The following is a 17,165-nucleotide window of genomic DNA, read 5'->3' as shown; positions in this document are numbered from 1 at the left end:
GCCCAGGCACCAACAGCCCCCTAGAGAGGTGGGCAGGTGCCTGCAGGAGACTGTGAAGTACTCTGAAGGCAAATGATAAACTAAGCAAGGTGTGGTGAGGGAGACCAGCTGTTGGTCAATAAATGACACCTTGCCCAGTGTTAAGAGCACAGTTTCTGGAGCCAGATATCCTGAGTTCCAAATCAGCTCTGTTTCTTAATAGCTGTGTGACTTTCAGGGATGATATGTTTAGCCTCTCTGTGCATCAATTCATTTATCTGTGAAAGTGGGACAATAATATACTAACATCATAAGGCCATTGTAATAATGAAATAAATTACAACTATGAAGTACTATATAAGCTCAGATTGTGACAGGTACACCCCAGAAATATTGTGGGTTCCATTCCAGACCACTGCAGTAAAGCAAATATTGCAATAAAATGAGTCACATACATTTTTTCCCTAATTCATATAAAAGTTATGCTTACACTGCACTGTAATCTATTGAGTGTGCAGTTGTGTTATGTGTAAAAAATAATGTACATATCTTAATTCAAAATATTTTATTGCTAAAAATGCTAACAATGATCTGAGCCTTCAGCAAACCATCATCTTTTTGCTGGTGAAGGGTCTTGCTTTGATGTTGATGGCTGCTGAATGATCAGGGTGGTGGTTGCTGAAGATTGTGGTGGCTGTGGCAGTTTGTTAAGACAACAATGGAGTTTGCCAGAGCAATTGACTCTTCCTTTTATGAAAGAAAGGAAGCAATTGACTCTTCCTTTTATTTCTCTGTAGCATGCAATGCTGTTTTATAGCATTTTACCTGCAATAGAACTTCTTTCAAAATTGGAGCCAACACTCTCAAACTCTGCTGCTGCTTTATGAACTAAGTTTATGCAGTACTCTAAATCCTTTATTGTTATTACAACAATGTAAATAGCACCTTCACCAAGAGTAGATTCTATCTTAAGAAACCACTTTCTTTGCTCCTCCTTCATAAGAAGCAGTTCCTCATCTGTTCAAGTTTTATCATGAGATTGCAGAAATTCAGTCCCACCTTGATTGTAGAAATTCAGTCCCACCTTCAGGCTCCACTTCTAGTTCTCTTGCTATTTCTATCGCATCTGCTGTTGCTTCCTCCACTGAAACCTTGAACCCGTCAAAATCACCTATGAAGGTTAAAATTAACTTCTTCCAAACTACAGTTAATGTTGATATTTTGATGTCATGAATCATGAATGTTCTAGAGTGGCATCTAGAAGAATGAATACTTTCCAGAATGTTTTCAATTTCCTTTTCTAGTCCATCAGAGGAATCACCATCTATGGCAGTTATAGTGTTAGGGAATGTATTTCTTAAATTACAAGACTTGAAAGTTGGAATTAGTCCTTGAACCATGGGCTTCAGAAGCGATGTTGTGTTTGCAGGTCTGAAAATATCCTTGTACCTCTCTGTCAGGACTCTTGAGTGACCAAGTGCATTGTCAATGAGCAGTAATATTTTGAAGGGACTCTTGTTTTTTTTTTTTAAGTCATAGTGAGGAAGGAGACCACCAGTTCTCCTGCTGCTCTCCGCCTTGCCTAGTTTATAAAACAAGAGAAAAAGGAGAAAGCAAAAAGTTAAAAAGAAAAAAAGTAAGATAAATAGCCAGATGACCTTGGGGCCACCACCCTGCCCTGATGGTTAAATAATAATAATAATAATAAAAATAATAATAATATCAACCCCTGACCTCAACTATTTGTGTTATCTGTAAATTCCAGACATTGTATGAGGAAGCATTGTAAAACTTTCTGTTCTGTTAGCTGATGCATGTAGCCCCCAGTCACATTCCCCATGCTTGTGACCCTTTCACGTAGACCCCTTAAAGTTGTGAGCCCTTAAAAAGGCCAAGAATTTTTTTTTGGGGAGCTCAGCTCTTAAGATGCAAGTCTGCTGAAGCTCCCGGCCGAATAAAGCCGCTTCCTTCTTTAACCCGGTGTCTGAGGAGTTTTGTCTGTAGCACGTCCTGCTACATTTCTTGGTTCCCTGACCAGGAAGCAAGGTGAGGCAGCCCCTTAGGCAGCTTTTGCCTGCCCTGTGGAGCATCCCTTTGGGTGACCCTAGCTGGCTTGAGTGACACAGATCCTGAGAACACTCCCAGGTAGGCATTTGCCCTGGTGGAATGTCTCATCAGAGCAGTGTGCCGCAGGCCCCCGTGGAGGATCAACACAGTGGCTGAACACTGGGAAGGAACTGATGCTTGGAGTTGGACATCTGGAATATGGTAAGACTGGTCTTAGGAACTTGCCTACTCCATTTGAGTGGAAGCGTGGCCTGATCACCCACAGTGTGCCTTTATTTGCACTTTGGTTTTGGTTTTGATTTTGACTTGGCTTGAATTGCTTGATGAACAGGTATGCATTTATCGGCACTTTGGTTTTGGTTTTGATTCTGATTTGGTGTGAATTTCTTGATGAGTGAGTGACCTTTTACCCTTTGCCCTTTTTCCCTTCTTGTGGCAAGAGTGGCTCACCACCCCAATTATGAACATAGGAACTGAAAGTGTGTGAAAGTGTGTGAATGGAGGGGCCTAATTAGGCTCATCAGCTGAGAAGTGGGGAGTCACAGATCTCTTAGTGTGAACTGTGTGCTCCGTGAAAGTGTGGGGCTGACTAAGACTAGTGGCAATCTACATACCGCTAATAGGAGCTGCCCTACAGCTCAGAGTTGTAGTGGGAATAAGGACCTCTCCAAAGGCAAGCAGCATCTAAAAACTCCCATAATAGGAGATGGTGTAGTCGGCCAAAACGAGAGAAAGAGTGAGTGTGCAAGAGTGAATGTGCTGCGTCATAAAAGGAGGAATAGAAGAAAAGTCACCAAAACATCAAAACTTACTCTATTGGAGTGCATGTTACAGAACCTTAAGAAAGGTTTTGGAGGGGATTATAGAGTTAAGTTAACCCCCCAGAGGTTGAGAACTCTCTGTGAATTAAAATTGCCTTCTTTTGGTGTTAGATGGCTGACTGAAGGAACTTTAAACAAGGAACAATTGGCCATGTATTTAAGGTGGTGACAAGGGTTGGAGGACAGCCAGTGTACCCAGATCAAATTCCTTTATATTGACTCATGGCTAAATATAATATAGACAAAACCAGCATAGATCCAGCCCTGTTTAATGGCTTATTGCAAAAAAGCCAAAAGTGAAAGTAAGAGCAGCTTTGCCAGCAGACACAGAGTTAAAAGGGGAGTCCCAGAGACAGCAAGAGAAGCCAGTTGTACAGGAACTGCCAAAGGCAACAGAAATTCTTTCTCCCTATGTCCCAGCCTACCCCCACTTTACCGAGGCCAACAGCCGCCTCAGAAACCAGATTCAGGAGCTAACATGCCCCAGGTCTCACGAGGATCAGAGACTCCAGAGGCCAGGGAAGGAGATCAAGGTAGTCAAGCGGGGGTCGTCTCAGATCTGGTTGTGCTCGAGCTATGCAAATGCCTCTCACGGAGATGCGAGGACCTATCTATTATGATGACCAGGGCCACATCCGGAGGGGGCAACAGACTTTCATCTATCAGCCCTTTTCAACCACTGATCTACTAAACTGGAAACACTCTGAACCCTGCCATCTTGCTCCTGGTATCAGAGAGCCCTGTCGTGCATAACTGTGTAGAAGTGTTGGACTCGGTTTACTCCAGCAGACCTGATCTCCGGGACCAGCCTTGGGCATCAGTAGACTGGAAGCTATATGTGGACAGGAGCAGCTTCATCAACCCACAAGGAGAGAGATGTGCGGGATATGTGGTGGAACCCTGGACACTGTCGTTGAAGCCAGATCGTTGCTCCAAGGCACTTCAGCCCAGAAAGATGAGCTCATTGCTTTAATTTGGGCCTTAGAACTCAGTTAAGGTAAGACTATAAACATTTACACTGACTCTCGGTATGCCTTTTTAACCCTCCAAGTGCATGGAGCATTATATAAAGAAAAAGGGCCTGTTGAACTCTGGGGGAAGGACAAAAAGGACCCGGAGGATGCAACTCAGCTTCAACGTTTGCAGAGGTACCAAGAGGCACTTCTGCAGGGGCTAAGAGTTAGTAGAAGGAAAGCAATTAATATAAGGAAGATTTCAGAAGTGCTTCAGGGAGCTGAAGAAAGGCTAAGTCAGTTTTATGAAAAACTCTGTGAAGCATTCTGGTTTACACCCCATTTAACCCTGAGACTGCTGAAAATCAGCATATGGTAAATACTTCATTTGTAAGGCAAGCCCAGGGTGACATCAAGCAGAAGCTGCAGGCATGAATACCACCCAGTCTATAAAAGTAGCTACCAAGGTCTGTCTTAACTGTGACCAGGGAACAAAACAAGAAAAAGCAAAAGCAACAAGTGCAGCAGCTAGGAACGCCAAGGGTTAAATCCCTCTCCCCAGCCCGGCTGTATCTGAATAAAAGGGGGCTGGAGACCGGTATTAGGAGAAGAACAAAGGAAAAAGAAAGGAAAAAAATAAAAGTGTGAGAAAGAAAAAAAAAAGGTAAACAAATCAGAAAGAAATGAGAGACAGACAGCAGTGCAAAGGGGCAAGGCCCGTGCTGTTGCCCTGCCCTGCCATTGCCCGGCCCTGCCGGCTGGCCGAAGGAGCAGGAGAACTCAGGAATGAAAAAGGAAAGTAAATTAAAGGCTTAAGAAAAAGGCCAATCTGTTGGCAACGGCTCTTATAGAAAGAGAGATTAGCAATGTCAGAGGATGTAGACGCAGATGTAGATGTGGAAGAAATCAAGTTAGGCAGGGATTCAAGAGCCAGACAAGGCTAGAAAGAAATTAATGTGTGAGATGAAAAAAGGACACTGGAAGGATAAATGTTCAGAAGACAATGAGGGAAATGGCCAAGTGCTGCCCCACCTTGGAGGAACCAAATACTGATCTGATCAGGCTGGCAGGAGCTAAAGGATGTAAGGACTAGGACAGACTGGACACCTTCTCATTAGGCTCCCAGGAGCCCATGGTCACATTAGAAGTCAAAGGCAGCAAAATTCTGCCGTATCTGGATTCCAATTTCTCACTGATAGCTAAGCCACTAGATAAAATTACAAAGAAACAAAGAAAAAAAAACCCTCCTCTAGGAAACTGAACAGGAGAAGGAGCCATGCCTTGTGAAAACTTGCTTATAAACTTTACAGAATTTCCCCGTGCTGGTGGCTATCGGTACATGCTAGTGCTTGTTTGCTGCTTTTCAGAGTAAGTTGAAGCTTTCCCTATCAGGACAGAAAAAGTATGAGAAGTGACTAAAGTACTGTTAAAAAACATTATCCCCAGGTTTAGACTGCCTCTAACTTTAAAGTCAGACAATAGGCCGGCATTTGTAGCTGAAATAGTGCAAGATTTAACAAGACTGTTAAAAATAAAATAAAAGTTGCATACAGCCTATCAGCCGAAAAGTTCAGGAAAAAGTAGAACACATGAACTGGACACTCAAGCAGCTACTGAGGAAATATTGCCAGGAAATTCATTTGAAGTAGAATCAGGTTTTTGCCTATGGTCCTCCTCCGAGTCAGGTGCACCCCCACCAAACAAACTGGGTATTTGCCCCATAAGATTTTGTTCAGTCAGCCACTCCCAAATCATAGGTCAAATTAAAGATGACCTCCAGGAACTAAAGGAATTAACCTTAAGAAAGCAAATGCAGGCTTTAGAAATAGCCATGCAAAGTGTTGATAATTAAATATATGAAAATGCCTATAAGCCTGACACCCCTTTAAATCTGGTAAATCTGTTTCAGTTAAAAAGTAGAATCTAATTTCTCTAGGTCCCATATAGGATGGGCCCTATACTGTAATCTTGTCCACTCCCACTGCTGTTAAAGTTGCAGGTGTTATGTCTTGGATCCACCACCATCGGCTAACACCATCAGCTCGGGACAGGTAAACCAGCCAGCAAGACCCAGATATCCAACCCGGCTAATCCTGAGATGAGACCAAGCTGCTGCTGAGGACAACAGCCCTGCTCTGGTTACTCTGGAGGCTGACCAGTCTATGTACGGCTGAAGCTTGAAGAAACAATAAGCCCTGCATTAGTCATACACCAGAAGCTGAGTAGTCTAAGCATGGCTGAAGCTTGAGGACTTGTCAAGCAAATAATGTAGTTAGAAATCTTAGGACTAGTGGTTTTCCTGTATACTAACTGTTTTACTATTGTTCTGTCACTGTGCTCAATCTTTTTCTCAGGTAAGGACCTCTTTTGTCCTTGCTGGATATAAATATGCTGTACATTGCTTTGTTGTTGTTACCCCCCTTAACTATGCTAAAAGAAACACCTATAGAAAGGTGTCCCCACTGTACACATACTACTTGGTCAAGGAACCCAAACCCGTCTGGCCCAGCAACAATTCTGAGCCTTTAAGTCATTCTCTGAGCATATAAACTAGAAGTTACCAGAGCCTCCTCCTTTAGCAAAAAAAAAAAAAAAAAAAAAAAAAACCAAAAAAAAACCAAAAAAACCAACCAAACAAAACAAACCTATTTATTCAGCTAGCTGAAAACATTGCCAGCAGCCTAGGCCTTTCCTTATGTTATGTTTGTAGAAAGGCTAACATAAGAGACCAATGGCCTTGAGAAGCAAAAAAGTTAATGCCTCAAGATAACTTTACTTTTACTTTAACTGACTCTTTCCCCAAACAGACACCCACAAGTTCAAGCGTCTGGCTCATAAAAACTTCTATTATTAAGAAATACTGTGTTGCTTGCTAGGAAAAGGCTTTTACAAACAGGTGAGCTCCTAAGTTTCCCTGTCTATGCCTTCCAAGAAAAAAAAAAAAGCATAGCTATAAAACATTAAAAAGATAATAAGTGGCCCCCTGGAAAAGTTGTACAGTACTATAGGCCAGCCATGTGGGCACAAGATGGCTCATAAGGATACTGAACCCCCATCTACATGCTCAATCAAATCATATGGTTGCAGGCTGTCTTAGAAATAATCACTAATAAAACTGGCAGAGCTTTAGAAGAATTTCAGGGATGAGATAGCTCCTAACTCCTTTGATTGATCCTTATGTTATCTATGTTGGGCATTATAACAGAATCCCATAGATGGGGTAGCTTAAACAACACAAATGTACTTCTCATAGTTCTAGAGGCTGGGAAGTTCAAGATTAGGGTGCTGACATATCTACTGTCTGGTGAGGCAGCCATTTTGTTATAGTACCCTTACATGGCAGAGAGTAGAGAGAGAAAGAGGTGAGGAGAAAGAGACAGAGACAGAGCAGAGAGATGGAAAGAGATAAAGAGTGAGTGAGGGAGCAAGTACTCCTGTGTTTTCTTATAAGGTCCCTAATCCCATTCATGAGGACTCCACCCTCATGAATCACTCTCTAAAGACCCCACCTCCAACCACCATCAATTAGGAGTTAAGATTTTGACATTTGAATTTGAGTGGAGTGGTAAAGGAAAGTGATTTACCCACAACACTTTTGAAACCAAACAACAGCTTTTCTTTTTTCTTTTTTACTAAAATTTTATTTTAAGTTCCAGGATACATGTGCAGAATGTGTAGGTTTGTTACACAGGTAAACGTGTGCCATGGTGGTTTGCTGCACCTATCAACTCATCACCTAGGTATTAAGTCCAGCATGCATTAGCTATTTACCCTGATGCTCTCCCTCCCCCATCCAACCCTGACAAGCTGTGGTGTATGTTGTTCCCCTCCCTGTGTCCATGTGTCCTCATTGTTCAGCTCCCACTTATGAGTGAGAATACACAGTATTTGGTTTTCTGTTCCTGTGTTAGTTTGCTGAGAATGATGGCTTACAGCTTAATCCATGTCCCTGTAAAAGACATGATCTCATTCTTTTTTATGGCTGCATAGTATTCCATGGTGTGTATGTACTACATTTTCTTTATCCAGGCTATCATTAATGGGCATTTGGATTGATTCCATGTCTTTGGTTTTGTGAATAGTGAATGAACAAGCAGTTCTACACCAAGCAGTTATCCATATCTCTGCAGAAACCAGTGAATGTTTTACAATTTAATTCACTTCTGACACTAACTACCAAGAGTGCAGATTCCAAGGTTAAGAGGTAAATCCCACAAACCTGTGCCCCACTTCAGATGCCAATCACAAGTAATGGGTACCCAGGGTGCCTACACTTCTCTCTGACTTGGCTACAAATTGGTGGTTCCCATGACCTCTTCCTAAGTTTCAATAATTTGCGATAATAGCTCACAGAACTCAGGAAAACAACTTCCTTACAATTACTGGTCTATTATAAAGGATGTTTTAAAGAATACTGATGAGCAGCCAGATGAAGAGGTACCTAAGGTGAAGTCTAGGGTGATCCCAAGCATAAGAGCTTCTGTCCCATGGAGTTGGGCCACACCACCCTCCAGACATATGGATGCACTCACCAACCAGGGAGCTCTCCAAACCCCATAGGTTAGGGATATTATGGAGGCTTCATTGGGTAGGCATCATCAATTATTAACTCAGTCTCCAATCCTTCTCCCCTCCCTGAAAATAAGGGGGTAGGGCTGAATGTTTCAAGCTTCTCACCATGGCTTGTTATCTCTGATGAGAAGTCCCTATCCTGAAGCTCTCCAGGAGCCCACCAAGGGTTACCTCTTAGAATAAAGACACCTGTATTACCCTGGTAATTTTAAGGGGTTTAGAAGTTCTGTGTCAGGAACCAAGGGCAGAGATCAAATATGTTTTCTTATATCACAGAAGGACACAAATGTTCAGCCCTTAACAATCCTCTTGCAGGTTTGTGTGTCGGTTGCACAAAAGCATGGCTTTGTGGAGAATATATGTGGTGCATTTATTTAAATGTGATTTCACAGCTGAAAGTATTTTTCTAAAAGTCTAAATTAGTTTCAAAAGATTGCACCAAATCCCTTAGAACATGCAGCAAAACAAAAACAAAACTCAGCAGGATTCTAAATGCTGTTCTGAAATATATATAATTTGTGTTTTAAATTGGCCTCTGATTCTATTCCTCATAGCAATGCTTCTAAATCCTAATCACCACCCTTTAAGTTACATCCCACCTCTCCCCTTCCTTCACTTGACCCTTCCTCCTATTTCCTGGCAAAAACACACATCACCAGACATGAGTTCTCTTTGCTGGTGCTTTCTAGCTTCAGGCACATGTGTTTCTCCATTGTTCCCTTCTTTCCTCTCTCAAAGAAAGGATGATCGCTTTCATATTTTGGTCCTTTCTTTTTTTTTTCTTTTTTTTTTTCTTCGAGACAGAGTTTTGCTGTTGTTGCCCAGGCTGGAGCGCAATGGCATGATCTCAGCTCACTGTAGCCTCCGGCTCCAGGGTTCAAGTGATTCTCCTGCCTCAGCCTCTTGAGTAGCTGGAATTACAGGCATGCACCACCACACCCAGCTAATTTTTTGTAGTTAGTAGAGATGGGCTTTCACCATGTTGGTTAGGCTGGTCTCGAACTCCTGACTTCAGGTGATCAGCCCACCTCGGCCTCCCAAAGTGCTGGGATTACAGGTGTGAGCTACTGCGCCTGGCCTTTTTGGTCTTTTCTTTTAAAAATTTTTATTTTAGTAAAAACACTTAACATGAGATCCACACTCTTAACAAATTTTAAGTGCACAATATAAAATATAATATAATATAATATAATATAATATAAATAAAAATGTCAGTGATCATATAGTGAAGACTGGCATGGTGGTTGCCAGGGGCTGGAGAGGGGCCATGGAAGTTACTATCAGTGAGCATACAGTTTCAGCCAAGCAAGATGAAGCTCTAGAGATCTGCTGTCCCACATGGCACTCCTTGAATTGTCTGTCTGTCATTTTATTTTCATTTTAAGTCTGTCAGCTCAGCTTGTTCTTTGGGTCAGTTCTTCCCACGCCTCCTTCAGGCTTGCTGCAGAGACTATTCTCCTTGTTCTGGTATGTGTTCAGTGTTTCTCCATAGGCCCCCTGTTTGTCATCAATAGCCATGCTTTTGGGTCTTCCTTCCAAAAACATGAGTTCTTAAATTTGCTGTCTTCTTGAGTTACCACTTGATTTCTCTCCTTTCTGATATAACAAAGCTTCTTCAAAGAATAGTCTACAAAAACAATCTGCACTTCTGACCTTTCCTTTTGCATTCCCCAATGTGTCAAGCATGGGTTTTTTCTTGAATGATGTTTTGAAGCTCGTGTCTTAAAGGTTGGCCCTGAATGACTCCCACACCTGCCATGGCCGAGCCCTCTTCTTAGTGCTCTTTCTGACTGTCTGCAGCTCAGGACACACATGACTCTCCAACCTTCCCCACCCTCTCCCGCAGGCCTTCTACGGTCCCAGGCTTTCTGCTGCATACACTGAAGGGCCACGAAGTACAGTCATCTGGACTTGGCACCTGGAATACAAGGATGGAAAGCATCATTTCTGCCAGCTTCTTATGGTCCTGAGGCGAGACAGTCATGAGAGAGGAAAACTGCAATGACTTCTGACCACTGCCAGCCTCGCTTCCTGCATTTTCTTCTTCGGCTTACTCTTGCCAAGTTGGAGTTGCCTAACTTCCAAGAGGGTATTTGCTCTTTTTTTTTTCTCACTCCACAAACTCTTCCCAGGTAGTTCAGTCCACTCCCATCTACCAGTCACTATACGCCGATGAATGCCAATATTATTATTTCCAGCTTAGACATTGTTCTTGGATTGCAGATGTGAGGTTTGACTTGTTTACTAGACATTGCTGGCTGAGGATCCCTAGCATAACATGGCCCAAATTCAATTTATTTCCAAAGCTGTCTCATCTCCTTTGTTCTCTGTAATGATGTTGCTATCCATTCGATCAACATACTCAGAAATATCACCCCCTCCTTCCTTCTTCCAAGATAAGTGAGTTGCTCACGACATGATCATGTTTTGGCAGTGTACTCTGTCCATTCCCATCACTTAGTAAGAATCATCTAGGTTATGCTGAAGTATGAAGTTAATCTCCAAATTTCTCTGGCTCAGTACAGAAAAAGTCCATTTCTCCCTTCTGCAATGCACCCAATGCAGGTCTGCAGGGTCTCTGCTGTGCGTTGTCCCTCAGGGACTCAGGCTGAAGAGGCCCCCTTGTCTTATCTGGCCACCTCCTCTGCACATGGCTCAGGATTTTCCAGGCAAGGGGTTGAGCAGAGGCTTTTCAGTGCTGGGCCTGGATGTGACATAAGATGCTTCTGCTCACAGCCTTGTGGTCAGAACAAGTCACATCATCCCTCCTACTTGCAGGGGTGCTGGGCAGCGTAGTCATCCACAGATCAGGAGAGGGAGCAGAGGCAGGTGTTCCCGGGCTGCAGCGATCTCCACTGCACTGCTGTGGGCTGAACTGTGCCCTCCACCCCACCAAGCTTATATGCTGCCAGCCTCACCCTCCACACCTTAGAATGTGGCTGTATCTCGACATAGGGTCCTTACAGAGGTAGTTAAGTTAAAGCAGGGTCATTAGGGTGGGCCCTAAGGTACTCTGACTGGTGTTTTTATGAGAAGAGGAGATTAGGACTTACAGGGAGAGACACTAGGTATGTGAGCACACAGAGAAAAGACCATGTGAAGACGAGAAGAAGGCAACTGTCTCCAATCCAGACGGAGATGCCAGGCACAGCCCTTCTGTCACAACCCTCAGAAGGAACCAACCCTGCCGACACCTTGGCCTTGTACTTCTGGCCTCCAGAACCGCAGGAAAGTACATTTCTGTTGCTTAGGCCGCTCAGCCTGTGGCACTTTGTTACAGCTTCTCACCCAGTTCAGGCCCTTTTAATTGATTGCTGGGCCTTTGCAGTTGTTTTTGCTTCTAATATATTCATCTCTCAATTTATTTCTGGAGGCTGCCACCCGAGGGGCAGAACTTCAATTGTGTCCCTAATGGGAAACCTTGCTGGGATCATGTGGTCTACAGCACAAGGTTGCTAAAGCATCTTCTGCCAGAATTCTGTGAGTATCTGGTTAGGTGGGTCTGGAATATACTGAGTTTAAAAAAGTTAAATAGGTTTCTTTACTGCAAGATGTTTCAGAGACTTTAATATGCTACTCTGCTGTATGAATCTCCAGGCAGGAAATCTTATAAAATGTGTTTCTGAAATGAATTTGCACATAAGACCCTGTTTTCTTGGAGCCTCTGATAGTGGGTGAATGCCCAATCTCTAGTGGGACTTGCAAGACTTTGCAATTGGGCAGACATATTTCTTTTCACCTTATCTCCCTCTGTCTCTATGGAGATACTCCCATCGCATCAAAGTTCTTCTTATTACTTACACATGGGGTGGCAGCTGTGACATGCACCCATCACATCTCCCTCCAAGAGACCCTACAGGGGAGCACAGTTGGCTGGCAGCTCCCGGTGTCTGCGCCTCCAGGCCCACTGCTCCCTTGGGCGGCTCCCAGTCAGTGGCAAGGTAGCGGGGTTCTGGAGGAGGCCCATTTCTACCTGCAGTGGGGAAGCTGGGCTCCTCTAAGAGGCAAACTTCTCAGAGACTCCACTGTGGCTCTGCTGAGGCTGAGAACTGTGCTTTTGGTCTGAGCGCATTCTCCCCATTCTCCTTCCTGCCCCCGCTCCTTGCGCCGGCCTTAGACCAGCTAGCTGTCTGCAGGCTTTCCCTGCCCACGGCTGCCCCTCCTTTCCCCTTCACAGCCGTTTCCGCCCACATGCGCCGTGCATGGTTAATCGCACCGTGCCATCCACTTCTCTGAGGACCTGAGTTAGCACACAAAGTATGTTCGTTCCCTGTGTCCTCACCTCTCCCTGATGTATCTTCTCCCTTCCTCTGCTGGCTGTCTGTTGGGAATCTTGGGAAAGGAATTTGTGAGTAATGTTCCAGGCAGCCTAGCTTTTAGGGTGAATGACTGGTTCTGACTTATGTCAATACATCCTTGAGTCATGCCAAGAACTGTGGGATGATCAAGGACCACGGACCAGTGTCCTGGAAGCATCGATGGCTCCAAGCTGCTGGCACCACTGTCCTTGGAATTACCGAGTGTGATTTTTAGAGTTACGGGCACATTTCTCAGGCCCCATAAATGTGATGGATGGTGAATTACAGGACTTTTGAGTATATAGTGAGTGGACTACAATTGTGCTGTATGTAGCCCACTGCTTTGTGCGTGAGGCGATTTTAGGCCATTGAAGGAGTTCAGCTGTCCTCCATATGAGTCATTTCCTAGACAGTGTACTCTGCAAAAGCCCAAATAACTTCACAAATGTAACAGTTTAAGCTCTTATCAGCCATGTATACCACACTGAGATGAGTATATCATATTTCACATAATATAAAATAGAAGTAACATCATACATTTCACTCTTATTTCTCCTTCTGGAAGCCACCATGCCCTAACTCATTCTCTTTCTAAATTTCAAAACATCCAAACATTTCCCAGCTTATTTTATTTGCAACACAAACTAGCATTTTTCTTTTTATTCATAAGCTAAAAACTTTATCACTGAAATCATTTTATACTGCCACGTATCATTCTTCACTCTCTCAATACAGTGCTCTTCTCATTGGTTAGTCAATAGTTTATAAGAGTTCCATATTTTTATCTTTGGTTGAGATGTATTAATTGATTAGAGATACTTTTACAATTGTAATTAAAAAGTTTAATCATTAAATTTAATGAGACAGGTATACGGAGGTTCAGAAGAAATGTAAGGAAGTGAGACAAGAAGAGAAAGGGAGGTTACGAAAAGTGAGATTAGGAAAATAAACGGAAGACCACGTTGATACTGACTGGAAAACGTGGAAGGTTTACTAATTAATCAGTGCTAACATGACCACAAAGCATATGTTACTATTTTTACTATTGGAACCCACCGTTAAGTAGTCAAAGTTGCAGGATAAAGTGTCTGAAAACATATAAAACAGATAAAATGATGAAAGTGTAAACAGGTACATCTTTTCTGAAGGCAGTTTGGTGTGCACTAAAGTGCAGAATATACCTTGCAATTCTACTCCCATGAATATAACAGAAAGTAATTACTGAGTTGGGAGCGGTGGCCCATGCCTGTAACCCCAGCACTTTGGGAGGCCTAGGTGTTGGATCATTTGAGGTCAGGAGTTTGAGACCAGCCTAGCCAACATGGTGAAACCCCCTCTCTCCTAAAACTACAAAAATTAGCCGGGCATGGTATTGCATGCCTGTAATCCCAGCTACTAGAGAGGCTGAGGCATGAGAATCGCTTGAACCCGGGAGGCAGAAGTTGCAGTAAGCTGAGAGATCGCACCACTGCACTCCCGCCTGGGTGACAGAGTGAGACTCTGTCTCAAAAAAAAAAAAAAAAAAGTGCAAGGATGTTTATTACAGTATAGTAAATCGCAAGCAGGAAAATCCTAAATGTATTATGTTGGTACTAAAGTAATTGTGGTCTTTGCCGTTAAAAGTAGTAAATCCATGGAGAATGGGTTAAATAAATGATAGTTTATGTATACACACAAATACCATGTGGCTGGTAAAAATGATGGTGTAAATTATATTTACAGACTGATAAACGTAAAAAGTATCTGGGACATAGCATTATTGAAAAGAAAGCAGGCTAGTGAATACTATAATTATTTTGTAAAAGTCTCTTATGGACATAAGTTATATATTTACATGGCCATATTTTGCACAGGAAATATGAAAAAGTATATATATCAAACAGTAATGGCTTATTTTTATCTTCTGGGAGTTTTGCAGGTGCTTCCCTCTTTACACCATTATATGTCATCTGAAGTTTTGTTCTGATTCTGTATTATTTCATTTCTAAAAGAAAAGCCCCAAAACCAAGTGCTGTTTTCCTGGTCTGTGGAAACAGAGTCTCCGAGGAATTAGGCTAGACATGGTAAGAACAAAGTTCTGTTGTGATAAAAGCTTTGGCCTGAGGTTCCAACCATTAAGTTTGCCAGCTCAGACTTGATCTTGAATGAAGGCGGGGTTCTGTGACTGGAGACCATTTCTCTCCTTTTGTATTTGTTGGTGTGTCCAAAAACCTCAGATCTCCCAGCTTCAGGCTTCTTTGAGGGCAGTGCTAAATTGGTTGAAACCTTATTTGAGGCAGTTCCTGAAAAGGGTAGGTGAAATTTCCTGCTGATAAAAGGCATCTTGTGTCTTGTTCATCCTTAGCAAATTGCCAATTAGCAAAGAAGAGAGGGCAGATGAAGTACCAGCCAATTTGAAATTGGTGTGGACTTCCATCAAGGTATATTAATTCACTTTACCTAGATGATTCGAAATTAGTTGCTTTTTTCTTTTAATCCTAAAAGGATAATTTTCTTCATGTTCTTCTTGTCATGTCAGCCAAATCCTATAGTGTCAACTTTCAGTAAATGTATCTTAGATATAACTATGGACCAATCTAGATCTTTCTCTCTCTATCATCTATACAGTTTAGAGATTTTAAAACTCTTACCACTTAGTTTGAAATTTTATTTTAATTTATAAAATGATATATTCTTATGTAAAAAATTCAGACAATAAAGATGTATTTAAAGTAAAAGGCAAAAGTTGTCTGTTTTAACTTCATCCCCATTTTTTCACTCCCTTGAGGAAACCACAATGAACTGCTTCGTCTGTTCAAACATACACTTATATGCCAAGACTTTCCTCTCACAGAATATGCAGTATGTTTCCTTTTTTAAAGAAAAAACCCCTCAATATTGTAGCATAAACATTAATGGCTGCATGGTATAGCATAATGTGAGCATATCATCATTTATTTAACCATCCCCATGACAACCAACATTTAGGTTGTCTCTATTTTTTTTTCTGTTTTAAATAAAACTTAATGTACATCTTGCACATTTGTGTCATTATGCAAGTCTAGAATCCTGGATGGAGAATTGTCAAGCCAAAAGTGTGAGCATTTTGATAGACCAAGTATCAGCAGGATTGATGACTTTGGAGCACTTCACAAGCCGAGGTGCAAACATTTCTTTCTCCCAACTGCCCTCTTCTCTGTGTCCTCCAACAGGCACAGTCTGTGACAGATGAGAACAGGTTCAAATTGGCTCCAGGCTGAAGTTTCCACAGAGCTGAGAAGAATGATCTGCATAATCAGTCTCTCACCAGGGAGCTCCTGGAGCTCAGACAGGCCCTCAGCGAGGCACGCATGTTCCTGTAAGGACATGGGGATCTGGGCAGTGCTGCACTGAATAACGTAGCATAAGACATCAAGACTCAATGTGTTAATAATAGGAATGAAAGAACAGGGAGCTCCATGGACCTGCTGCTTCCCCTAAAACCCCGTGACACTTTTGTTTCTGATATCTGTGCTAAACTTTAGGAAAATTTTACTTTAAAATCTTGTGACAGAGAATTCTGTCATTTTTTGACTTTTAGAGAATTTTTAGAGAAGTTTTCAATTTTTAGAGAATTCTGTCAAGTGTTTTCCAGGTGTGGGAAGCCCCAAAGCCATGGTGACATTAGCTTATCTGCAGCATGTGTTCCCATCCTGACCAAGCATTGGTGTTGACAGGATTTAGGGCAACAATTCCCCTGTGGCTCCATCGAGATGAGTTGGGCTGCTTCAAATCAATATGTAGCAGATAGAGTTTCCCAATTTTGCATGCTGTCAATAATGAGGATCTGCTGATTTCTGTTTCTCTACTCCCCAGAATTGTTACCATTTTTTGTCAATGACAGTTTCAAAGCTTGGCCACCCCTTTGGAGGTGCTCCAGGTTGATTGTCCCTGGAAGGAGGTGCTCCAGATTATGACAATGGAGCAAGAACTGCTGAAATGGAGGGGTAGATTCCAATCATCCAATACAGCTCCGTGTCCTGAGAGATAATTGTCTAAGGTGTTGTGGAATAGTGACATCATGGAGTAAAATCGAGAGTGGAGGTGTTACACACAGTGGACAGTTCCATGCAGAGCCAGAGTGCTGAAGGCTGATGAAGCAAATTCACTCATGTAAATTCCCTCAAAATACATTTATTGAGCACATCCTTGGCACTGTTCTACAGGTTGGAGGTGTGGAGATAAAGTCCCTGTTTTCATGGATCTCACGATGGATAGTGTGAGAATTACGTGAAGAAGCTTAAGTCAAAAGGCAGAGAGCCACCCCTTTGGAGGTGCTCCAGGTTGATGGCTGTCCCCGGAAAGGAGGTGCTCCCAACCACAAAAATGGGGCAGGAACTGTAGGGTGCTGGAGCTTATGCAGTAAAGTGCTGTTAAGTTTGGGTGTTTCATTGGCTTGTAGGGATGTTGAAACTTTCCTGACCCAACCAGCCTTGTCTTGACTTGCTTCAGAGTAA

The 17,165-nt window shown here is 42.7% G+C and overlaps 2 long non-coding RNA genes across 2 annotated transcripts in view; one reads left to right on the top strand and one right to left on the bottom strand.

The window, feature by feature from the left end:
• Positions 1 to 529: 529 nt before the first annotated feature.
• The window catches only part of LOC124901947 (uncharacterized), a 42,576-nt gene continuing 25,940 nt past the window's right edge, over positions 530 to 17,165 (bottom strand). Inside the window, exon 2 of the long non-coding RNA XR_007060913.1 lies at positions 530 to 1,561. This is a non-coding gene — a long non-coding RNA (uncharacterized LOC124901947). The remainder of the gene's footprint in view (positions 1,562 to 17,165) is intronic.
• LINC02984 (long intergenic non-protein coding RNA 2984) lies at positions 3,228 to 15,414 on the top strand. The gene is made up of 2 exons (NR_149032.1): positions 3,228 to 3,864; positions 10,239 to 15,414. It is a non-coding gene; the product is annotated as a long intergenic non-protein coding RNA 2984 (long non-coding RNA).

Source organism: Homo sapiens, chromosome 8, assembly GCF_000001405.40.
Source record: "Homo sapiens chromosome 8, GRCh38.p14 Primary Assembly".
NCBI lineage: Eukaryota > Metazoa > Chordata > Mammalia > Primates > Hominidae > Homo > Homo sapiens.
Note: the sequence above shows the minus strand (reverse complement) of the source record. Positions and strands in the feature narration are given on the sequence as shown.